The sequence below is a fragment of the Homo sapiens genome, chromosome 11 (assembly GCF_000001405.40).
Source record: "Homo sapiens chromosome 11, GRCh38.p14 Primary Assembly".
In the NCBI taxonomy this organism is placed as follows: Eukaryota; Metazoa; Chordata; class Mammalia; order Primates; family Hominidae; genus Homo; species Homo sapiens.
This window is the reverse complement of record NC_000011.10, coordinates 8,910,954-8,934,214: the sequence shown is the minus strand read 5'-3', so window position 1 is coordinate 8,934,214 and position 23,261 is coordinate 8,910,954. Positions and strand designations below refer to the sequence as shown.

The following is a 23,261-nucleotide window of genomic DNA, read 5'->3' as shown; positions in this document are numbered from 1 at the left end:
TAAGAGGCTTTTGGTTGCAAGTAAGAAACAGCCCAATCCAGAGTGGCATAATCAATAAGGGGAATTATTGGCTCACAGAGCTGAGGCCTAGAGTAGCAGCACTGCCTGCAGGCAGGACTCAGTACTGTCACCGAGAACCTATTTTCAGCTGGGCGTTGGGGTGCATGGCTGTAGTCCGAGCTCCTTGGAAGACTGAGGCAAAAGCATCCCTTGAGCCCAGGAGTTTGAGGCCAGCCTGGGCAACCCTGTCTCAAAACAAACAAACCAACCAACCCTCTATTTCCTGAGGTCTATCCTCTCTTTCTCTGGGAATAGCTTCAGTGTTCCCAAAAGGCTGTCAGAGGCTCTCAGAACTATCAGCTTTCTTATTCAGGCATAGGAAGAAAGAGAAAGCCTATATCCCAGGATTCCCAACCAAAGTCTCCAGATTCCTGCTGATTGGAGAGGTTCAGGAACACGCCACTGCCTGACCAACCCCTGGGGCCAGACGGGGATGGAAGGGGTGACTGACACCCACTCTACCCCTGGAGGTGGGTACTTTGGCCTCCCTATCCACATGGATCTGCCAACTGAAACAGGACCTGGTAGAAGCGGGGTATGAATGTGGGGGAGACACATCCAAACGTGCCTGCATACCAGGCATATAACCAGTGCACAGTGACTGGCAGAGGCCTCCAAATACGAGCCCCTCCCACAAGCAGAATCTGGACTTCTGTTCCTTTGTTGCCAGTGTCCACACCTCTCACTCCAAATGGTCACAACACCTCTGCTCCTCAACAGAGTCCTGCCTGTTATAGACAAACAGGCCCACACCTTTGGTTATTTTGGTTTAGACTAGGGACAAATTCTATCCTAGAGTCCCCAGGCCGCCAGTGGCTCCCCCATTCCTGCCTCTAGTGTGTACAGGGAGGACGCCCTCAGTTTCTGCGGAGGTGGCTCCTCCCTCACAGGAGTCTCCTGGGATCCGTGAGGGCTTCCCACCACCACTGACTCTTCCAGCAGTGGAGCAGCCTGAGCTTTGGAGAACTGAGGCTACACTGGCCTTTTTCCCTTCTTCCTCCTCCTCTTCTCTCCAAAGGGAAACCTGGAGAACACCCCCTCCCCCATCACTTCCTGCCCCACCCCTACCTCCCAAGGCCTCCTGTCCCCCTCTCCGCATGCTCGGTGCACTCACTGGCCACAGACGACAGCGTCCCCAGGCTGCACCCATGGTAACCGGCGTGGCAACCAGGAGTCGGTTGGGCTGAGACCCTGAGCCCCAACTGTCAGAAGGAGCCTGAGGCTGAGGTGGAGGCTGGGAGTTTGGGGCTGTGGGTAAGTCCTTGTGGGGTCAGACCTGTGGACTTGGGCAGGGGCAGACCCTCACGGGGCTCTGGTGGGCTGCAGCAGTGCGGCTTGATCTTGGGCCCTGGTGGCAGCTGTCTCCTCTGAACAGGGCTGGAAAGGGGATGGACGGCCCTGAGATCTCAGCTTGCCTGAGGCCAGAACTAGCCTTGTAGGTGGCCGGGGAGGAGGAAGGAGGAAAAATACTAACATAAGTTGAGCTGCTGAATACGCCAGGTGCTTTCCATGTATTCTATCCTGAGTGTAACTGGAGAGCAGAGGTTAAGTGAGCACACAGCCAGCAGGCTGTAGGGGAGGATTTAAAGCTGGGCTGCTCTAAACTCACAGCACTTGCTCTTCCAATCCCTTCCCTGTTTCCTGAGTGGAGGTTCCCAAGGCAGGTGACTCAAAGAGGAAACTGTGAGAGTTTGTGGGAGCAGGTAGGGCCGTGCATGGACTCAACTGTCCCCAGAGGCAGCTAACTGCAGAGCTGAGCCCTGCCTCGCCCCGGTGGCCACTGCTTGCTTCAAGCTGCAGCTCAGGTAATGGTGGTGCCTATTCTCAGGTGGATCCTCTGAAGGCCATGGAATCCTCCACGGGGCCCAGGATGCCTTTGCTCAAATACTGCAGCGTGGCCACAAGCCTGAAGGCCCCTGGCTGGGACGGTGCTGCTCCACCTTGGGACCTCTCCTTCACCTACCCCTTTGCCCTCCAAGCACCCTGGCTCACCGGGCACAAGCCCCTTGCAAGGTACCTGTCTCTGCCCCTCTGGGGGAAGTGGATGCCCTTTTCTTTTTCCTTTGTTCTTGGCTGTTGGTGGTAGACCTTGGTGGACAGACTTGCTTCCTGAGAAGGTGGAAAGGGGTCGTCATTGTTTGGCCTATGATTGGCATATCTGTGTGGGGTCTGTCACTCCAGCCTACATTGTGCTCCCAGAGCCCTCCAGGGTTGATCTGGCTTTAGCAGAGTTGCAGATGCTGCAGTTGGCATGAGTAAGAGAAGGCAGTTAGGGATAGCCAGTTACCAAGTTTATAGCTCATTTTACCATCAATGCTGAGACTTGGCTGGGCGCAGTGGCTCACACCTGTATACAATCCCAGCACTTTGGAAGGCCGAGGCAAGCAGATCACTTGAGGTCAGGAGTTCGAGTCCAGTCTGACCAACATGGCAAAACCCCATCTACTAAAAACACACAAAAAATTGGCTGGGCATGGTGGCTCATGCCTGTAATCCCAGCACTTTGGGAGGCCAAGGCAGGTGGTTCACCCAAGGTCAGGAGTTCGAGACCAGCGTGGCCAAGATGGTGAAACCCCGTCTCTACTAAAAATATAAAAATTAGCCAGGCATGGTGGCGGGTGACTGTAATCCCAGCTACTCAGGAGGATGAGGCAGAGAATTGCTTGAACTCGGAAGGTGGAAAGGTTGCAGTGAGCCGAGATCGCACCATTGCACTCCAGCCTGGGTGACAGAGTGAGACTCTGTCTCAAAGAAAAAACAATAATTAGCTGGGCGTGGTGGCACATGCCTGTATTCCCAGCTACTCAGGAGGCTGAGGCAGGAAAATTGCTTGAACTCGGGAGGCAGAGGTTGCAGTGAGCCGAGACAGCGCCACTGCGCTCGAGCCTAGGGAACAGAGTGAGACTCTGTCTCAAAAACAAAACAAAACCAAAAAAAAAAAAAAAGAGACTTGCTCAGCCACCATATGAGAAATCAGCTAATGTGGGGTCTCCAGGTCCCTCTTCAGGTTCCCTCGGTACCCCTCCTTTGTCCAGGATTTTCCTGAATAGGATCCTCAGTCTGCTTTCTAAAGCGTGGATACAAGAGGCCAAAGGCACCACAGCCCTATATACACATGTGGAGCGTGTCATCTCCAGGGACTCGCATTCCTGCTGCCTGATCCATTCTGCCCACATTAGGGACATGCCAGCTTGAAAGATCCTTAATGGCTCCCTTTCGTGATCCACCCGGTGGACCATCCTGTTCAAGGCTAGAGTTAAGCATGGGACTTTAGATGCCAACAAGCACAGGAAGGAGGCTGAGGGGGGCTGAGGGCAGCTCAGCATGGGTCTGCAGGAGCTCCTCAGCACGAACAGCCTGGGTGCAGTGACGGCATGTTGATGGCAGCAGGAGGCAGACAGGCCCCCTTTGCATTCAGCCTTGCCCACAAAGTAAAATGGCTTCTTCAAAAACCCAAACCCTGACTCAACAACTCCCCTAGGCCAACTGGCCCTGACCACAACATTTTCTGGAACTAGCATCTCCTTTTTCTGTCCCACAGCCCCTTAGCTCCTCTGGGTTGTCCCTGCCCAAACACTTCCTCATCCCTCTGACCCCACAGCATCAAGTGGCATTACAATTTCACACCCTCGGCATTACTATCCAAGCTTCCACGCCTCATCCTGGAATCCCACACGCCGCCTTAGGATTGACCTACCTGGCACTTTTTTTTTTTTTTTTTTTTTTTTTTGAGACAGAGTCTCGCTCTGTCACCAGGCTGGAGTACAGTGGCGCAATCTTGGCTCACTGCAACCTCCGCCTCCTGGGTTCAAGCGATTCTTCTGCCTCAGCCTCCTGAGTAGCTGAGACTACAGGCACCCACCACCACGCCCACCTAATTTTTGTATTTTTAGTAGAGGTGGGGTTTCACCGTGTTGTCCAGATAGTCTCGATCTCTTGACCTCGTGATCCGCCCATCTCGGCCTCCCAAAGTGCTGGGATTACAGGTGTGAGCCACTGCTCCCGGCCCCTGGCACTCTTTTCTTTTCTTTTTTTTGATAGGGGTCTCACCTTGTCACCCAGGCTGGAGTGCAGTAGTGTCATTTCAGCCCACTGCAACCTCTACCTCCCAGATTCAAGCAATCCTCCTATCTCAGCCTCCCAAGTAGCTGGGATCACAGGCTCACACCACCACACCCAGCTAATTTTTTGTATTTTTGGTAGAGATGGGATTTCACCATGTTGCCCAGGCTGGTCTTGAATTTCTGAGCTCAAGTGATCCATCCACATCGGCCTCCCAAAGTGCTGGGATTACAGGCTTGAGCCACACTTTTCCAGTCTGTTGTCTAGTGTAGGAACAAGCATCAATTAACTTGAATGTATCAAGGCGAATTACATTTTGGTTGCCTTGAACCAACTCCCAATCCACCAAGGATGGTTCCCTTCACTGTCCTCTCCTTCTGCCCCTCCCGGAGGTTTACCTTATCCTTCCGGAAGTCATAGATTGCCACTTTCCATATGGATTTCTGTTCCGCATGCCTCATGTGCTGTGGTGTACCTCAGATGTACCTGCGAAACGTGTTTCTTGATGTGTTTAGGGCTTGTTGCTCTCTATCCACTAATTCCATTTGCTTTTTTCCAGGCATGCCTCTTCTTGCCCATGTCTCCACGTTGCCGACCCAGCATGGCAGGGGCCTGGCTGGCTGGGAAGAGCTGGAGATGCTGCCAACACATGGGTCCTAGCAAGAAGGGAAGCAGATGGTTTTTACTACCGGGCCCAAATAAAGGCCACTCCCGAGGCAAGTCCCTGACCCCAGTATCTCCCTGGCGTGCTCCTCTGGGTGGCCTTGTCATACCTGACATGCCTTAGCTGTGTACATCTAGCAGGCTGGTTTCTTGCATAAGCACAGCTCTCCCATGGCCATGTTGTAGAAGTGAACATGTAATACCATTGAGTGTATTAGTTTGCTAGGGCTCCCTAACAAAGTGCAACAAACGGAGTGGCTTAAACCACAGAAATGTGTCATCTCCCATTTCTGGAGGCTGGAAGTCCAGGGGTTGGCAAGGTTGGTTCCTTCTGAGAGCTATGAAGAAGAATCATTCCCATGCCCTGCTTCTGGCTTCTCATGGCTTGCTGGCAGGCTTTGGTGTTCCTCAGCTTATAGAGGCATCGCCTTGATCTCTGCCTTTACCTTTATGGGGCTTTCTCCCTGAGTGTGTGTCTGCCCACATTTCCCCCTTTATAAGGACATCAATCACACTGGATTAGGGACCTGCCATATTCAGTCCTCATCTTAATTACATTTGCAATGCCCCTATCCACAAATAAGGTCACATTCTGGGGGCTAGGACTTCAACATATGAATTTGGCAGGGGGCAAGGCATGTTGGCTCATGCCTGTAATCCCAGCACTTTGAGAGGTGGTGGTGGGAGGATTGCTTGAGGCCAGGAGTTCAAGACCAGCCTGGGCAACACAGTGAGACCCTGTCTCTACAAAAAATTTAAAAATGAGCCAGGCATGGTGGCACATGGCTGTAGTCGCAGCTACTTGGGAGGCTCAGGCAGGAAGATCACTTGAGCCCCAAACTGATGGCATCATTGCACTCCAGCCTGTGGGAGGAGGGTGGAGGTGGGTAACGGGACACAATTCAATGCATAACAGAGAAGAAAGTGTACTTTAAAAGTACTTTGTTGCGGAAAATTCAGTGTGTTGAATGAACACTAGCCTAAGGGAAAGGTGGAACGAGATATGTTTGCTCACATGCATGGGTGTGTGCTGGTACAGAGAAGCACACTCTCGCCATGCTGGGGGCCAGGCCTGGCCTGTACTTCAGTGGCTACTCACTTCTTTTTTTTTTCTTTTTTTCAGAGTCAGACTTACTTTGTGAATGTAGATTCATGAAGGGAAGACTAGTGTAAATTCTTTAAAAATATGAATTTCAGAATTTCCAATCAAAAGTCAGTTTTTGGCCAGGTGCGGTTGCTCACACCTGTAATAACAGCACTTTGGGAAACCAAGAAGGGTGGGTTACCTGAGATCAGAAATTCGAGACCAGCCTGGCCAACGTGGTGACACCCCGTCTCTACTAAATATACAAAAATTAGCTGAGCCAGGTGGTGGGCTCCTGTAGTCCCAGCTGCTCGGGAACCTGAGACAGGAGAATCGCTTGAACCCAGGAGGCAGAGGTTGCAGTGAACCAAGATCACGCCATTGCACTCTAGCCTGGGTGACGAGCGAAACTCCGTCTGGAAAAAACAAAAAAAAGTCAATTTTCAAGTAACTAATATGTGAATTAAAATGAAATTCTAGCAAAGCTTTGCTCAAATATAGGTTCTGTCCAGTGATTTGGTAAAAATAATTTATAACCAGAGTTTATTTCTCTTCTAAATCACAGAGTACTTGAAACAGCTTGTACTTTTAAGTAGCTGCAGCACTGTTCTCTCACTTTTGCTATTCATTTGCTTAGCTAACCCTTTCCTCGTTGACTGCAAGGGCAGTGCTGAGGGCAGCTCTGTGGCCACAATCGCTCCTTGCCTACATGAGCCTCATAGGTGAACAACCATCCTGTTGGTCTTGGACACATCCCTGGTTGGTCTTGGACACAGGAGCGACGCTTCTTGGGGGTGCTGGAAGGAGGAGATTGCATTGAGAAAAGGTCCAGGGAGGACCCAGGTAACTCCTGGCAATTGCAGGTCAAAAATTTGGTAGGAGGAAAGAAAACCAGGCAAAGGAAGGGAATGGAAAGGCAGAGGCAGGAAGTGATCCACAAGAGTTGCCCGAGGCAGGAAGAGATTCAGGGGAGCACAACCGTGCCACACAGCCTGCCTGTCTTGGCTTTGACTGGCTTGAAGCAGCATCTGCCCTGTCCCTTCTTTAGGTGCCTGTCACTGTTTGGAAGGCAGCCCCTGGGCCTGATTTGGGGGGCATCGTAGGGAACCTGGGTGCTCCCTATTGTACTTTGTAATGCCAGGTCTTATTCTGAGTGTTTTCTTTCCCACAGCTGGAGAGACAGGGGGTCCTGCTTGTGGAATTCGAGGCTCCTCTTGTCGCAGGCCCAAAGCTGCCAGCCCAGCAGCAGAGAGTGGTCTTAGAAGAGGATGTCATTCCTCTCTCACCATCTGTAGGATACTCACTGAGACCAGGGGATAAGGTGCTGGCACTCTGGGAGCCAGGCCAACAGCAGTATGGCCCTGGCACTGTTCTTTTGGGCTTGGAGATGAGAGATCCCCAGAGAGGTAAGAGAAGCTGCTCTGACCCATCAGTGCCCAGAAGGAGCCAGGCTGTAATCAGGCCAGAGGAGAGAGCCAAGGCTGCGTCTACAGCTTAGGGGTTTCTAAGGCATTAAGAAGAGAATTTTTCCCCCTTGCTTGCTGCTTAATCTTGAGGGCAGCAACAGATGCCTCAAGATGCACAGTGTATCTTTCAGATTATTAAAAAAAAAATTGTAATCAGGGTAAATGGCCTAAAACTCTCATATCTATGTTGGTTAGCTAAACCATGGTTTAGCTACTCACAACCCAGCCCTCACCAGGTCCTCCAGGGACCAGACAGTCCTCTTCTGCAGGGTCAGTCAGCACCATTGTAATTCAGAGAATGACAGAATGAGGCTTCTACTGAGAATGCATTTTGGTTTTGACAAGAAAAGTGAGCCCCTGCAGGCCACTGTAGTCCAGGAGGCAGGGAGGCTCAGGCAAGTCCTTGGGAAGTGGAGGTAACTATGGTGCAGGTGAAGGATGTTCCTGGCAGGCTCTCCACGGAGAGGTGCATGTGAGGAGCCACGCAGCCAGAGCAGCGGGGCCAGGCTGAAGCTCTGCCTTTGCCTGTGTGGGTAGGAGAGGCTTTATCCCATGATTAGGACGTGGAAGCTACTTCGGAGGCTGAGGCAGGAGGATGGCTTGAGCCTGGGAGGTTGAGGCTGCAGTGAGCTATCACTGTGCCACTGCACTCCAGCCTGAGCCAGACCCTGTCTCAAAAAAAAAAAAAAAAAAAGAAAAGAAAAAAAGAAAAAAGAAAAAAAAGGAGATAATTGGTAATTATAACAAAATGTTGCCATTTTTTGTTATGTAGCATCAAAGGAAAAAGAAATCACTGTTCATTTCTGGAATGGCAAAGCTGCTAAAGTGCCCCTAGGTGGGGTCCAGTCGGTGTCCCTGACCATCTGGAAGAAGGCTGTGGAGAGGCTGCACAAGTCTTTCACCAGGGAGCACCCCAGGCCCCTTCACTGGGCCCCTTGCTGCTCTCTGCTAGGGCCAATCACTGGGCGCATCACTAATGAGCTTCCTCCGGATGCTCCATTCCTGTGCCCTCTCTGCCACCATCATGCCTGCTGCCAGCTACTGTGCCAGGGCTGCCTCTGTGGCTGCCCGCCATGTGGCACGACTTGGTGGCCTCTAACCAGGACCTCAGAAGTCATGGCCAGAGAACTTCCAGAGTTGGAGCCCACAGCACAGCTTTTGCCCCTGGAAGGTCCTAAAGAGGAGAAAGTAGCAATGCACGCTCCCCTGGCTGTTTCTTCCTCCTCATCCTCCTCCTGTGAACAAGACGGTGTGGAGAATGATCTGGAGATGGGCCCTCCCCAGAGACTGATGGTGAACAGTGCAGTCAACACAGATCCCATCTTTCTTGAGATGCCTCTGAGACAGAGTGGCCTCTGCCAGCCTGAGTGGAGGTATTGGAAGAGAAACGGGCCTGAGCCATGCCTTGGGAAGCCAGGTATACCAGGGGAGTGGGCTTGCTTTCTAAGGCAGGGGCTGGGGCCCCGCCTCCCTTCCCTCCCACATGTCCCTTAGGAATTTGATGCACGTGTCCACTCTGTTGGGACTGCAGTAATCCTTGGGAGTCTGGTCATGCTGAAGAGGAGGCTGTGGCAAGAGGGAAATAGCAGGTTTCCATTTCAGCTATGAGGCCCAAAGGAGCAGAAGGATGAACTGATCTTTGTGCTAAGGTTGCATCCCTATTTAATACCTGCCTTTTTCTTTCTTCACTAGTCTCTACTGATAGAGCACTGCCATTGTCTGTTTTTAGTCTCCTCCTTTTTTCTTGGAGGCCTTGGTTTTTCTCTAGATGAACAGTCCAAATGCCTCCAGGTGTTGATCAGAGTTGATGCACTGAAGCATAGAAACTGGTCTTGAGCATTGGTCGTGAGGCCCCACTCTCCTGCTGGTTCCCTCAGTAAGTGAGCGGGGAGGACCCGGGCACTGCGATGTGCTTCTTATCCCTCATGGCCAACAGGGAAGCCGTGTCCTGTTGCTGCTGGCAGTCTGCAGCCAGCCCCACACTGCATCGCCTCCAGCTGAGAACTGTGTGGCGGGCCCTGCTAGGTTCGGGGAGCCCATCCTATCTAAATTCCCAACGGAGTCTGGAAAGAGCAGAAGCCTGTCAGAGCTGTGTGAAGGAGGTGGCCTGGAAAAGTCTGGCCCTTGACAAGATTCTGGGAGTCCTGGGGTCACTGAACGTATCTGGGGCAGGGAGGCTGTGAGGTGAAGGAACACCACTGCTAAGGGCTTAGATCTCTAGGCACTGCCCACACTGGGACCCACTGGGGGTCCCTGGTTGAAACCATAGCCCTATTTCTAGGACAGCCACTGAGCCAGAAGGACTGCTCAGCCCATGAGGGTTTTTGTTGTTGTTGTTGTTGTTGTTGTTTTGAGACAAAGAGTCTCACTCTGTTGCCCAGGCTGGAGTGCAGTGGCATGATTTTGGCTCACTGCAACCTCTGCCTCCCAGGTTCGAGTGATTCTCATGCCTCAGCCTCCCCAGTAGCTGGGATTATAGGTGCATGCCACCATGCCTGGCTAACTTTTTGTATTTTTAGTGGAGATGGGGTTTTGCCATGTTGGCCAGGCAGGTCTCGAACCCCTGGCCTAAGTGATCTGCCTGCCTCGGCCTCCCAAAGTGCTGGGATTACAGGCGTGAACCACCAAGCTGGCACCAATGAAGATTTAAATCTTGCCCCAAGGGTAAGGATTTTATTAGTGTTCAGTTCCAGGAAGTTGAGAAATTGTTTGTAATGAGAAGCTTTCCTGGTGACTCCTCTGAACCCCTGGGCTTTGGGAGGGGTGGGGAGGAGTGTGTCTGCTGCACTTGGATTTTATATGAGGATTTTTCCCCTATCTCTCATAGGCCCAGCTGTGCTCTTCCTCCACTCTCCAGGAGGAAACTTTGTATTGAAAACATAAAATGGGGAGGTGGGTCCTGGGCTTCTGTGAAATGGGTTACTCCAATCTTGCAATGGCAAGCCTTGGCAGCAGCCACTCAGAAGTGGCGATTTCGCTGGGCACAGTGGCTCACCCAGCACTTTGGGAGGCCGGGGGGTGGGGGTGGGGGGTGGATCACTTGAGGTCAGGGGTTTGAGACCAGCCTGACCAACAAAGTGAAACCCCGTCTCTACTAAAAATACAAAAATTAGCCAGGCATTGTGATGCACGTCTGTAATCCCAGCTAGTTGGGAGGCTGAGGTATGAGAATCAGTTGAAGCTGGGAGGCAGGGTAAGCCACTACACTCCAGCCTGGGCGACACAGCGAGACTCTGTCTGCAAAAATAAAAAAAAAGAAAAGAAAGAAATGCCGGTTTCTTTCTCCATTCGAAAGAAATGAAGTTATGGAGAATTTAGCATGAAAACTCTAGAGTTTGGCACCATTTTCTTTATATTATCACTTGTAGAGAGGGCATAAAGAAGATGGCACCGAACTCTAGAGTTTTCATGCTAAATTCTCCATAGCTCCCAATGCCTCTTGCTCCAGCACAGCTTGGAGAAAGAAGAGCTGTACCTACCCAACAGAGAGGGGTCTGTGGGGAGCAACTGAGACAGTGCCAAGCCCAGCATAGGGGAGAGGGACAACCAGAGGGGCCATGGAGGCCAGACATACCCTAGATACCACGTCTGTGTTCCCATTGCTGTGACTTGCTCCATAGCAAACTCTAGAAGGGTTCCAAACCTGATTAAGTCCAAACAAATTTCCCCTGGCCCTAAGTTTACACAGCTCTTACTGCTACTGCCCAAAGCCACTTACACCTACAGTCTCTCTCCATCACCACATTTAAAGAGATCCACTCCAAAGTTATTTTCTCCCCTGAAATAAATTCTATTAATTGACTATAAAGAAGATAACTATAGTATCTTCAGGTACTTGGCCGGGCTTTCCTGTTAAATACTGGATCTTGTGTTATGCTCTAGGGAAAGTTCCTGGGGCTGACCCATGAGCATCATCAGTATGTTCCCAAATATATGGAGAGCATGCCCGAGAGGGGGTGTGGAGACATGGCCATCCCCCGCCCTCACCACATGTGTGGGACTACCTGCTCACTAGTGAAGAGAAGCACAGAAAACCAGGGTCAGGGCTGAAACAAGGCAAACACCAGAGCTTTGCTTTTCTCCCCTCCAGGTTTTGTATCTTTTAAAGGAAATGTGCTGTTTTGCTTCTCCTAAACATGCTTGATGTTTAATCAGTTCTTGCTATCAGGACTTGATATCCGTTCTGTCGAGTGCTGATGCTTGACACTCAATTTTGAGCTTTGCCTCTCACAAAAGCTCTTGCATAGGTTTCTCTGTCCTCCACACTTTCCCTTACTTTCAGTTACAGGCAGTGAGAGGTTCCAATTAGATCCTAATAGTCCTAGGGAGGCCAGATTGTGAGCTGCTGGCAGGGAGGTACTTTCTGCCTCCTTTGACTGAAACAGGATTCAATCTGTAGTTTTAAAAGAAACGTAAAAAGCATTCCTTCCCTTTTAGATTGGTCTATTCCTCAGGAAGTCACATCTCCCATTATTTTTGTTTTGCCCCAATTTTTTTTTTATTTTTAGAGACAGGGTCTCACTATGTCACCCAGGCTGGTGGGCAGTGGCACGATCATAGCTCACTGCAGCCTCAAACTCCTGGGCTCAAGCAATCCTCCCACCTCAGCCTCCCAAATAGTCGGGACTACAGGTGTGCACCAATGCACCCAGTTCAATTTCTTAATATTTGTTTTCTATCAGCTTGTAATCTCTTCTTTGTGGTCTGTGTTATCAGTGATCAGTGAAGGTGTCGAAGCTCCTTTAACTGGTGGCAGTCAGTTACCTTTGCTTGCCCTACTGGCAGTTTAGAAGACACATCCAATAACTTCTTCACAACTCCAAATCTTGGGTATCAGGTAATGTTTCCCAAAAGCATAAGGTCCAGAAATGATAACAATTTTTTTCTCTAAAAATAGAAAACATTACATGGACACATTGCATGATGGCAAAAGAAAACAGGCCAGGTGTAGTGGCTTATACCTGTAACTGCAACACTTTGGGAGGCTGAGGCTGGAGGATCTCTTGAGCCCAGGAGTTCAAGACCAGCCTGGGCAACATAGTGAGACCGTTTCTACAAAAAACTAAACAATTAGCTGAGCATGGTGGTGTGCGCCTGTGGTCCCAGCTACTGGGGGCTGTAGTGAAGAGCGGGTGGCAGGTGGGAGGATGACTTGAGCCCGGGTGGCTGAGGCTGCAGTGAGCTATGATCATGCCACTGCATTCCAGCCTGGGTGATAATAGCAAGACCCTGTCTCAAATACATAATAAATGAAAAGAAAACAATGCTTGAGCTTACAGATACTTCAGTGATCCTTGTTTTAGTTCTACTTATGCCATCAAAATGGTGGCATATTCAACCTAAGTAATTGACTTTTGGGTTTAGGAACAAGATATTCCAACATCTGCAAAGAAGAAAAGGATCACAAACAGCAGAGAGCACAAACTGCAGTAGTGGGGACTACCAAGGAGCTGGTCTCGAAAGCAACCCACATGAAGCCACCGCGGACCCCGCCAGGGGAAGCTGAACACAGAAAGCGGAGTCAGAGCCTTGCAATATGTCAGTGGAACAAGAATTCCCGTTAGACTAAGAGCCCTGAGGATCTAGGTAAAGCAGAATGGCTGGAAAGGGGCTTCCTAAGGACTCCTCACATGGGTCTTAGACCTTTTGGGTCACATCCCCTTTGAGAACAGTAAAACCTATGACCCCTTGTCCTAGAAAAATGCACATACCCTCAATTTTGCATGTAATTTCAGAAGGCTTATGGAACCCATGAATTTAATCACAGGCTTCTTGGGGGTGCAAGGATCCCCGTTTAAATGACCCTCTGTTCTATGGTATTGGGTAGGGGTCTGCTTTATTAGGCCCTCTGAATATGGAGTCTATTCCTCACTAAGAATGATAATATAGCCCTACTTAAACTTTATTTCCATTATATAAAATACTGGCACCTTTCCCAAGGAAAGGTTTGTGTTCAAAATGAGAGAATCACCAGGCAACGAAACTGGGAGATGTCACAGTTCTGCTGTGGCAGCTTCAAGACATTTGGGACACAGCAATGACTTTTTTTTCTGAGACAGGATCTCACTCTGTCACTCAGGCTGGAATGCAGTGGCATAATCATGGCTCACTACAGCCTTGAACTCCTGGGCTCAAGTGAGCCGCCCACCTGAGCCTCCTGAGTAGCTAGGACCTGAGTAGCTAGGCACATGCCACCACACCTGACTAAATTTTTTACTTTTTGTAGAGATAGGGTCTCACTGTGTTGACCAGGCTGGTCTTGATTACTAGGCTCAAGTGATCTTCCTGCCTTGGTTTCCCAAAATGTTGGGATTACAGGTATGAGCCACCGCACTCGGCCACAATCAATGACTTTTTAAAATCAGTGACTTTTGATTCTTAAAATTGCAGTCAGCATAACAATGTATGGAATTTTTCCCCCTTTTATAGGTAAAGAATAAACATGGTAAATATTCGAGGAGAGTTATACAGAGTGGCTGACAAGGCCTTCTTCAACGGAAGGAGGCAGAGGACAGGCCACAGGTAACAGTCAAATAACCACCAGTATCTCCACCCCACGAAGACCTCCCTGCAGATAAGCAGCAGGAAGGCACCTGTTGTGAGGGCTATAGGAATGTGGGATCCTGCCCTGGGGCTCCCTGCCAGGGCCCTGGTGAAACTGCTTTAAGATGCCTCTTCCGTGGAAGAGGGGGTCAGCCTGCTTTGGGCAAATGTGTCCACAGCCACTCTGCCACCTTCCCATAAAGCCTAGTTGTACATGAGTGACATTTTGTTTCACCTCTTAATAAAAATGAATTCTCTTCATTTCCAAATCTCTTTATTATCATAATTAACCTTTACTTGGAAAGCAAGCAGTAAAACCTGTTCAGACAGCATCATTATATTACTTTCAGGCAAACAAGCGTGGAGGACCTCTACACCCTCAAGTTAAAAAAGGCACTGAGGCCGGGCGCGGTGGCTCACGCCTGTAATCCCAACACTTTGGGAGGCCAAGGTGGGTGGATCACGAGGTCAAGAGATCGAGACCATCCTGGCCAACATGGTGAAACCCCGTCTCTACTAAAAATACAAAAAAAATAGCCGGGCATGGTGGCGGGTGCCTGTAGTGCCAGCTACTCGGGAGGCTGAGGCAGGAGAATGGTGTGAACCCGGGAGGCGGAACTTGCAGTGAGCCGAGATCACGCCACTGCACTCCAGCCTGGGCAACAGAGTGAGACTGTCTCAAAAAAAAACCAACCAAACAAACAAAAAAGCACTGAAAGAGACAGACTCCAGTTCCCGGAAGGCTGACCCAGTCAGCACTAAAAACAGGATTAATGTATAGCTATTAAGAGAATCATACAGTGGCTTTATTCTTACTACTTAAAAAAAGGTGATGTGATGGCAGTGATGGTCAACATCACACAGGGAAGACCAGGTCCACGCTTTGTCCAGAATCAACTGCTACCACATGAGTCTTCTTGGTTAAGTCATTTGAGCCCACAGTGACAGAATAGGTCCCTGGATATACTTCTATGTAGAGGTCCTTAGAGATGTTCTCAGCCTAGAAGGAAAAGAGGATATTAGCAGTTTAGAGATTTTATACCCCAGTGCCACCATGGCCCCCCAGCAGGCTACCTGTCCTTGCAGAGGTGTGATGGAATGAAGCGCTAATGTGGGAGACAGAGGTCCTGCTTTCAAGGCTCAGCCTGCTCACGTACAACACTGTCATTTTGGTAGGTCTCAGCCTTTCCTTATTTCTAGCACTGTGATAATACCTCACAAATAAGCATGTGAAAACACTCTGTAAATGCTAAAGTGTTATATGAACATGAAGGATTATAAAAAGAACACTCTACTTGGAGTTAGGCAGAAGGAAAGGCTAGAGGCCACTGTTTTGGGGATCAGAAGTAGACAGTGGCACTTAGCACAGATGAGCAGTAATGACAAGGTACTCGGGAGTGATGAGAGCCATTCTTTTAAACGGTGCTTTGCTAAGTTCACTATCAGGAAGATGACAGGCATTTCTTTTGTCCTAAAGCTCAGAACAATTTGAGTGAATTCCATTTTGTCACTGAAGCAGCAATTCAGCTGGCTGACAAAACTCTCCCTTGGAGGACTGGTTCTCCCAGAGTACAAAACACTGGAAGCCAGAGTTAATGGAAAGATTTTATTTAGAGCCGAACTGAGCACAATCAGTCTTCCAAGGGTAGACTTCACTCATGGCTGGTAGATTACATCAGGTGTGCAGGCAGAGGATGGGTCTCAGTTCAAATGGTAAAAGGACAAAGTCACAAACCAGAAGAGAGCCTGTAATTAAGGGCCAGAGTGACACCTGGGATGCCATTACAAGCTTGCTTAATGCTGAGAAGGGGCCATAGGCAGAAGTTGTCGATTCCACTACCACACACAGGAAAAGCCAAACTACTGGCCAGCAAATTGCACTCAGAGGAATAAATGATCATGTTTACATTTTTATGAAATTTCCCCTCTTCCTCCTACCTTGCAGATGGATTTGAAGCCAATTTTTTCCAAAGCTGTTTTATGTTGTATTCTTTCATGCCTGTCCAGTTACTGCGAAATTGGAAGTCTACCATCCTTTAACTGACGTAAATGTGTATGACAATGTCATTAACTATTTATTGGTTGTCAACCATGTAAATAAAAGTCACTTTTAGAAAATATGGTTATATCAGAATTGCAGAAAGCCAAGGATGCTTCATTTGCACACAAGGAAACATAGAGGTAAGGTTGGCATGTGGCTGTAGAACTCCAACACGGTGGAACATCAGCATTACCAAAAGTCAGCAAGTGTTGAGAGGCGTCTAAGCCTTAACAACTTATATTTGTACTAGAAGCAGAATATTCTTAATTGTCACTAACTCTAGTATACTCCAAATCCTGACTCGTAGCAAACCGTATACAAACAAAAAGTAAATGTATTGCGGCACCATGCTGAATGAAGTTCCTTTCCTCAGAATTCTAGCCCTTCCAAGTTCCAAAAAGGATCCCCTGGCTTCATGACCTAATGAGTACTTTATCCTAAAAATGAAAAACTCATTATATGTTTTTACAGAGAAACATTTGTGGAAAATAAGAACAAATGCCTTCAAATGTTTTGGAACCTGATCTCACCAAATGTGTATGTTTCGGAATTTCAGCAATGGTTTTCACTTTGTTAGCAGGAGGATCGTGCCCCTCCTGCTGCTTGAACAGATGGTGGAATTCCAGCAGGACCCAGTGCCAGCCCAGCTGAGCTGTAGGAACTGAGAGGTGAATACTTCACATTCTTTCCAACCACAACTATGAGTTCAGGCACAAAGAGTATCCCTGAAGCTTAGAGTGAAGGAAGAATACCAAGAAAACCTAATTTTACACTGAACCAAAATCTTGTGTGCCCTTCTTAAGTGTAAGAACATCTCAACTTAAAAATACTATAGACTCAATTCAAATAGCCCTCTAAGAACCATGTCAACTGGTTCATGGAGTTGCAACGGTGGTGAAACCCAGTGCGTAAGCAGTTCCGTACTCACAGGCTGGGATGCCTCTGGAGCATGCTCTGATATTTGATAGCTGCCTCCAGGACCAAGGGATGTCTTTTTTCTGTCTTTTCTCTGAAGAGACAAGTAGAACACTGATTTGTGCCCAAGCTTTCACTTTTGGATTGTAAAGAGAAGTTCTCTTCTACCTTATTAGGAGTTAGTAATTGTTCTGTCAGCTTTTTCTAAGTTGTCATCTAAGTCATTAAGGCATTTTTAAGTGAATTCTGTGAGGTATTTTTAGTCAGGTATTTACTATAATTTTCATCCTTACATGGGCTTTGGAATCAGCCACGCCTGAGTTTAAGTCCTATCTCTGCTATTTACTAAGACAGATTAACTTCTCTTGAACCTTGGTTTTCCAGTCTGTAACATGGCACTCTTGGATTGCAGGGAAAATTTAAAGTGCAAAAGTGGCACTTAGGCTCTCAATACATTCTCTTCTGTGCTTCTTCTAGGAGTGGGGGTGGTCCTAGAAGGGAACAGGCTGACTGATAAAGCCAATTTCCCTTAGAGGGAACTTACATTTTAAAGGGAGAGATGGGAACGACTCTTCCCCACATGTACCTAAGTGCACCCTTTAGGGTCAGGTGCGTTTAGGTAAGAGTTCAGGCTAGGCCAGAAAAGGGGGCTCAGGACTCAAGCTCTGGCACCACTACTCACCTCCCAGGCCAGGGGAGGCATGTGGGAGGTGCTTCGAGTGTGCACTCAGCCCTTGCTCATGTCCCTGTGCCCACTCTCCCATCCTTTTCCTAAACTTCCTCCCTCTAACACCCCAAAATGGCTGACAGACCAAAGAAGTCAGGAATCCAACTTAGACTCTGGAATAGACTCTGGACTTCAGTTTGCTATCTTTGAGTACAAGTAGGGTAGGTTAAAACAAAAGCAAAAACCTAGTCTCCTCAGAAACCACCACCACCACCTCCTCCTTTGAATCAGTTCAATAAGCAGAATCTTTGGCTTCCCCAGAATGACATGTGGTAAAAGGTAAGTTTGTAGTGAGAGGCCCGTAACTGTTATTACCTTTACAAAAAGTATTTTGTTAAAAGAGACCCCCGTCCCCACACTTCCCTTGTACTTTCTTTTTAAAAATTATGAAAGACAGGGGCCAGGCATGGTGGCTCACGCCTGTAATCTCAGCACTTTGGGAGGCTGAGGCAGGCAGATCACCTGAGGTCAGGAGTTCAAGACCTGCCTGGCCAACACGGTGAAACTCTGTCTCTATTAAAAAATACAAAAATGGGTCAGGCGCGGTGGGTTACACCTGTAATCCCAGCACTTTGGGAGGCCGAGGCAGGCGGATCACGAGGTCGGGAGATCGAGACCATCCTGGCTAACACAGCGAAACCCCGTCTCCACTAAAAATACAAAAAATTAGCCAGGCGTGGTGGCAACGCCTGTAGTCCCAGCTACTCGGGGCTGAGGCAGAAGAATGGCGTGAACCAGGGAGGCAGAGCTTGCAGTGAGCTGAGATTGTGCCACTGCACTCCAGCCCGGGCAACAGAGCAAGACTGTGACTCCACAAAAAAAAAAAAAAAAAAAGAAAGAAAAATACAAAAATTAGCTGGGCTGGTGGTGTGTGCACGTAGTCCCAGCTACTTGGGAGGCTGAGGCAGAATTGTCTGAACCTGGGAGGCAGAAGTTGCAGTGAGCCGCGATCGCACCACTGCACTCCACCTTGGGTGACAGAGTGAGACTCCCTCTCAAAAAAAAAAAAAAATTACCAAAGACATGACAGTTATCACCTTATAGTAAAAAATGTAATTATTAAAAATCTTTTCCCCCAGCCTGGGCAACATAGCAAAACCCCATCTCTATTAAAAACATTAAAAATTAGCTGGGTGTGGTGGCATGTGCCTGTAGTCCCAGCTACTTGGGAGGTTCAGGTGGGAGGATCACCTGCCCAGGAAGTCAAGGCTGCAGTAAGCCATGATTGCTCCACTGCACTCTAGCCTGGGTGACAGAGTAAGACCCTGTCTCAAAAAAAAAAAAAAAAAAAAAAAGAAAAAAAAAATCCTATCCCTAGATGTAGAAGAGGATATTTAGAGCTCTTTTAAAAAAAAATTAGAGAAAGGGTCTATGTTGCCCAGGATAGAATGCAGGGGATAGTCACAGGGGCGATCATTGCATACACCACATTCCAGGCTTGGAAGCTCTTTTCTTTAAACCTGCTGGAGAATCCCATGGCCCAGGACTGCAGGTTCAACTAAAGATCCTACAGTGGCATCAATCTTATATTTTTGACAACCTCCTATTTCATGTTCATTGCTGTAAGTTCTCTAAGGCTATGAATTTACACATTTCTGTTAAGCACTGTAATGCCAAGTCACACGGGCATCCAGTGACACAAAGTCTAGCAGGGGCTCTTGAATATAGGGTGTCATATCTTGGTAGACTGAAGGCATGGTGCAGGACAGTTGAGTACACTTACCTGACCATTCCCTATGTCCAAGCACATGTGCAGCTTCGACTCGCCTCTGTGATAACGATAGACATGGGTTGCCCCTCCTTCCTCTGGCACAGATGAATAATATTTCTAGAGACGTAATGTCAAAGATGTTAGCTAACCAAATTGTCTTGTCAAATTTTCAAAAAACCCTGATATTTGGGCAAAGTGCAGTTAAGGAGGGAGGCAAGAGAGCAAAGGTGAATTACCTGCCCTCTTGACAGGCCTCTGAAGTCATGCAACAAACCTTAGCCCACCCAAAGTGGCTGCAGAGAAAGAAATGCATTTGGCATCCCCGTGCTGCCACCTGCTGCCTCCATAGGGCAAGAACGCTGGCTAACTAAAGGTGGGCAGGACCATGCTCTCTGCCAGGTTAAACAAATTTCACATCTTTGCCCCCATGTCCAATGCACATATCCTTTCATTTCCTCCCCTAAAAAATGTGGATGAACGGTTCCATGTTTATTGTCTAAGTCTCAGACCAGGACACGGGAAGAGAGGGGTACATTTTCCTGAGATTTAGAAACACAGCAGGAAATGAAACAAACCCAAGAGCTGCTCTGCAGCCCTTTTCTCTGTGCTTCCTGCGCGTGGGGGAGTGGAGGGAGAAGTCTCTAATTTAAGAAGAATCTTCCGAAAGATCGGAAAACAGTTACATTTCTCTTGTCTGCTTCCTTCCTCCCCCTCAAAGTTAGCCTTAGACTTGCCCTTGATAATGACTAATGACATCACAGCCCTGCTTGTTTTGAACAGGGTAGGCACACTGTCTAAAAAACATGTGACCAGAAGAACGAGAAGCTGGGGAAAGCACTTGAGGACACAGACCTAAAGATGTGTTTTAGTGGCTGCTTCAAACTGTGGAGACAAACCCAGTACACAATTCTTAATTCTATCTCTAGAAAGCCAAGAGGTTCTGAGGCTCCATTTCATAACAGAGACTTGAACTGAAGCATGAACTGAAAACAAAAATGAAGAACAGCAATTTGCTAAACCTCAAACCAAAGACAAATATTATTCCTTTTGCTGAACCATGAACCAAGGGTTTAATCACTTTACAGTAGAGTTGAGGCTATTGATTTTTGTAAAACCACTGAACAACACAAATAAGATAAAAATATTCCCTGAAGTATTCCTCTTTGGTTGGAATCCTATTCTTGGAGTCAGGGATTCTTATAAAAGATGTAGAAAGATTAGAGTTTTTTGAGATCTTAACATATGAAACTGAAAAGCAGGGCAGAAACAAGGTATTCTCTTCCATCTCCTTTGTGGATCAGCCTCCTTAAAACCATGTAGGACTCACCAAGTGTTAAGACTGCATGAGGCCAGAGCCTGCTGTAATTCCTAGAAGACAGTGCCTTCCATGCAGGTAATTTCCTTGAATGTTTTCTGGCCTGCCCTCAACATTCCCTAAGTATCGAAAGATGACTTGGCTGGGTATGGTGGCTCAAGCCTGTAATCCCAGCACTTTGGGAGGCCAAGATGCGCGGATCCCTCGAGGTCAGGCGTTCCAGAGCAGCCTGGCCAACATGGTGAAGCCCTGTCTCTACTAAAAATACAAAAATTAGCCAGGCATGGTGGCATGTGCCTGTAGTCCCAGCTACTCGGGAGGCTGAGGCAGGAGAATCGCTTGAACCAGGAGGCCAGGAGGTAGGGGTTGCAGTGAGCCGAGACTGAGCCACTGCACACCAGCCTGGGTGATGGAGTGAGACTCTGTCTCAATTAAAAAAAAAAAAAAAAGGTCGGGCACGGTGGCTCACACCTGTAATCCCAGCACTTTGGGAGGCTGAGGCGGGCGGATCACGAGGTCAGGAGATGGAGACCATCCTGGGTAACACAGTGAAACCCCGTCTCTACTAAAAATACAAAAAAAAAAATTAGCTGGGCGTGGTGGTGGGCGCCTGTAGTCCCAGCTACTAGGGAGGCTGAGGCAGGAGAATGGTGTGAACCCAGGAGGGAGAGCTTGCAGTGAGCCGAGATCACACCACTGCACTCCAGCCTGTGCCACAGAGCAAGCCTCTGTCTCAAAAAAAAAAAAAAAAAAAAAGTTAAAAAAAACCCCTAATATTTAACTTATTTGCTATGAAATTCGGCAAATAAGCTATTTTCCCCCCACTAGACTGAAAGATCACTGAGGGCAGAAGACCTTTTCTGACTTTTCATTGCTATATTGTCAGCTACAGGGTTAGGCATTCAATAAACATTTATTGGGTGAATTCTAACTTGGATTTACCCCCTGGTTTAAGTCCTTGACTGATTACAATCTGACCGTGAAGGCTGGGCAGGAGAAACAGGTAGTGTCCAGATTCTCCGTAAATTCCAGAAAGATCCAAATGTGGTCCATCAGCAGGTGATGGGGCATAGTTTTGGTTCACACCAACTTACCCCACACTGACTTGAAGTATAGTCCATGAATTCAGCCATTGTTCTGAAGGAAGCACTAAGGGTTGGGGGTCTCTCTTCTCTCTATTTGAATAAATGGCACGTCACAGGTTAGCTCTAGGATTCCCTACTGGAGAATGAAGCCATTTTGGAAATAGTCTCCTTTTTACTTTTGGAAAGGCTCTGCAAGTTTATGTCAGAAAGAACGATGTTATTGAGAAAGAATTCCAACTCTAAAAGATAGACATGCAATTTATCCAGGATCTAAGAGACAGGCTTGCAGGCTTTCCTCTACTATCAGATGATAGCTGTAAGATTTTTTTTTTTTTTTTTTTTTTGAGACGGAGGTTTCGCTCTTGTTGCCCAGGCTGGAGTGCAATGGCGCGATCTCGGCTCACCGCGACCTCCGCCTCCCGGGTTCAAGCGATTCTCCTGCCTCAGCCTCCCTAGTACCTGGGATTACAGACATGCGCCACCACGCCCGGCTAATTTTGTATTTTTAGTAGAGACGGGATTTCTCCATGTTGGTCAGGCTGCTTTCGAACTCCCGACCTCAGGTGATCCGCCCGCCTCGGCCTCCCAAAGTGCTGGGATTGCAGGCATGAGCCACCGCGCCCGGCTAATTTTTTTTTTTTTTTTTAAGTAACCAACCAGGGCTGAACACTACCGTTATTCTACAGCTACCCAACAAGAATCTGTCAAATGTAAAGCGTTTTGAAAGGACTTTTCCATTCATTGTTCTGATCCTTTCCAGCTTCCGCTAAGGGAAGGTTTCCTCAGCTGCTTCTGCGCTGCGCACCCCTGGCTCCCAGCGGGCTACCGCGGCGCGAAGGACTGGGGCGGCCCCCGGCACAGCGACCCTCACCTCTCCCGGGAGAACGCGCTGCGGGCCGGCTGCCGGCTGTTTCTCTAGGTGGGGCGCCTCCCGGGCAAGGACCCCCATGCAGCCTTTGGGACGCTCCAGGGCATGCCAGTCCACCGCCCTCCTCTTGGCCCTCTCCAGCACTTCTAGAGCCAGCCTTGCTGAACGCTGCAGGGAACGTCGGTCCACCCCATTCAGCGCTGCGGCCGCCAAACAGTTGTCCATGGCTCCCTGAGTGGGCACACAACGTACAAACGCCGGCGGGTCAGCTGGGCCGCGGCGACCCTGCTCCAAATCCGGGTGGGAGCCCCAGCCTCGACCTCCCTGGAGACCACCGCTCCTGGTCCGCCCCCAACGCACACTCCAGCGGGAGCCCAGCCAGGACTAGGCCTAGCGCGCCCGCCCCTTCCATTTTCATCTACCCCTTCCGCTACTTAGGGAGCCCCCTCACCCGGCTCACTCGTCAAGGCGCATGCGCGCAACGCTATTCTAGGAAGAGGGACCAGGCCTAGCGCTCCCGGCGGCGCCGGCGCAGCTGGGCCATTGGCGGAAGGCGGGAGAGGCGGGAGAGGCGGGAGAAGTGGGGGAGGCGGGGCGGCTGGGCGGCCAAACACGCCTTCTGCGTCCCAGCCTTGGCGTCTGCGCGCGAGTTGCCTGGTTAACTGCTGAGCGCTGGAGGCGGGGCGCCGGGCGCTGGGGGCCGGGGGTCGGGGGTCGGGGG

The 23,261-nt window shown here is 49.0% G+C and overlaps 2 protein-coding genes across 9 annotated transcripts, besides 6 other annotated features; one reads left to right on the top strand and one right to left on the bottom strand.

The window, feature by feature from the left end:
• Positions 811-1,649: an enhancer, noted in NCBI's record as "H3K27ac-H3K4me1 hESC enhancer chr11:8954113-8954951 (GRCh37/hg19 assembly coordinates)". NCBI's record gives its function as "activates a minimal SCP1, AML or CMV promoter by ChIP-STARR-seq in naive H9 embryonic stem cells {active_cell/tissue: H9 hESC(naive)}" and the evidence as "EXISTENCE:reporter gene assay evidence [ECO:0000049][PMID:30033119]".
• Positions 1,268-14,139, top strand: C11orf16 (chromosome 11 open reading frame 16). The gene is made up of 7 exons (NM_020643.3): positions 1,268-1,314; positions 1,889-2,073; positions 4,682-4,838; positions 7,041-7,275; positions 8,108-8,752; positions 12,700-12,921; positions 13,765-14,139. The coding sequence occupies exons 2-6, from the start codon at positions 1,907-1,909 to the stop codon at positions 12,897-12,899; spliced, it is 1,404 nt and encodes a 467-aa protein (NP_065694.2). The 5' UTR covers positions 1,268-1,314; positions 1,889-1,906; the 3' UTR covers positions 12,900-12,921; positions 13,765-14,139.
• Positions 7,337-8,120: an enhancer, noted in NCBI's record as "H3K4me1 hESC enhancer chr11:8947642-8948425 (GRCh37/hg19 assembly coordinates)". NCBI's record gives its function as "activates a minimal SCP1, AML or CMV promoter by ChIP-STARR-seq in naive H9 embryonic stem cells {active_cell/tissue: H9 hESC(naive)}" and the evidence as "EXISTENCE:reporter gene assay evidence [ECO:0000049][PMID:30033119]".
• Positions 8,121-8,905: an enhancer, noted in NCBI's record as "H3K4me1 hESC enhancer chr11:8946857-8947641 (GRCh37/hg19 assembly coordinates)". NCBI's record gives its function as "activates a minimal SCP1, AML or CMV promoter by ChIP-STARR-seq in naive and primed H9 embryonic stem cells {active_cell/tissue: H9 hESC(naive and primed)}" and the evidence as "EXISTENCE:reporter gene assay evidence [ECO:0000049][PMID:30033119]".
• On the bottom strand, positions 14,136-23,026 carry AKIP1 (A-kinase interacting protein 1). 8 transcript variants are annotated; one of them, NM_020642.4, is made up of 6 exons: positions 22,992-23,026; positions 22,544-22,771; positions 21,682-21,762; positions 19,285-19,389; positions 16,848-16,928; positions 14,136-14,878 (listed from the first exon to the last, which is right to left on the bottom strand). In NM_020642.4, exons 2-6 carry the CDS (start codon positions 22,763-22,765, stop codon positions 14,735-14,737), a joined length of 633 nt encoding a protein of 210 aa, NP_065693.2. In that variant the 5' UTR covers positions 22,766-22,771; positions 22,992-23,026; the 3' UTR covers positions 14,136-14,734. The 8 variants fall into 8 exon arrangements, 6 of the variants coding, with proteins under 6 accessions (NP_065693.2, XP_016873500.1, NP_001193576.1 ...); XM_017018011.2 differs by having other exon boundaries at positions 23,001-23,026; NR_045417.2 differs by having other exon boundaries at positions 22,544-23,026.
• Positions 22,722-22,811: an enhancer, noted in NCBI's record as "active region_4395". NCBI's record gives its function as "activates an Ori minimal core promoter by ATAC-STARR-seq in GM12878 lymphoblastoid cells {active_cell/tissue: GM12878}" and the evidence as "EXISTENCE:reporter gene assay evidence [ECO:0000049][PMID:35858748]".
• Positions 22,822-22,891: an enhancer, noted in NCBI's record as "active region_4394". NCBI's record gives its function as "activates an Ori minimal core promoter by ATAC-STARR-seq in GM12878 lymphoblastoid cells {active_cell/tissue: GM12878}" and the evidence as "EXISTENCE:reporter gene assay evidence [ECO:0000049][PMID:35858748]".
• Positions 22,982-23,261: a silencer, noted in NCBI's record as "silent region_3116". NCBI's record gives its function as "represses an Ori minimal core promoter by ATAC-STARR-seq in GM12878 lymphoblastoid cells {active_cell/tissue: GM12878}" and the evidence as "EXISTENCE:reporter gene assay evidence [ECO:0000049][PMID:35858748]".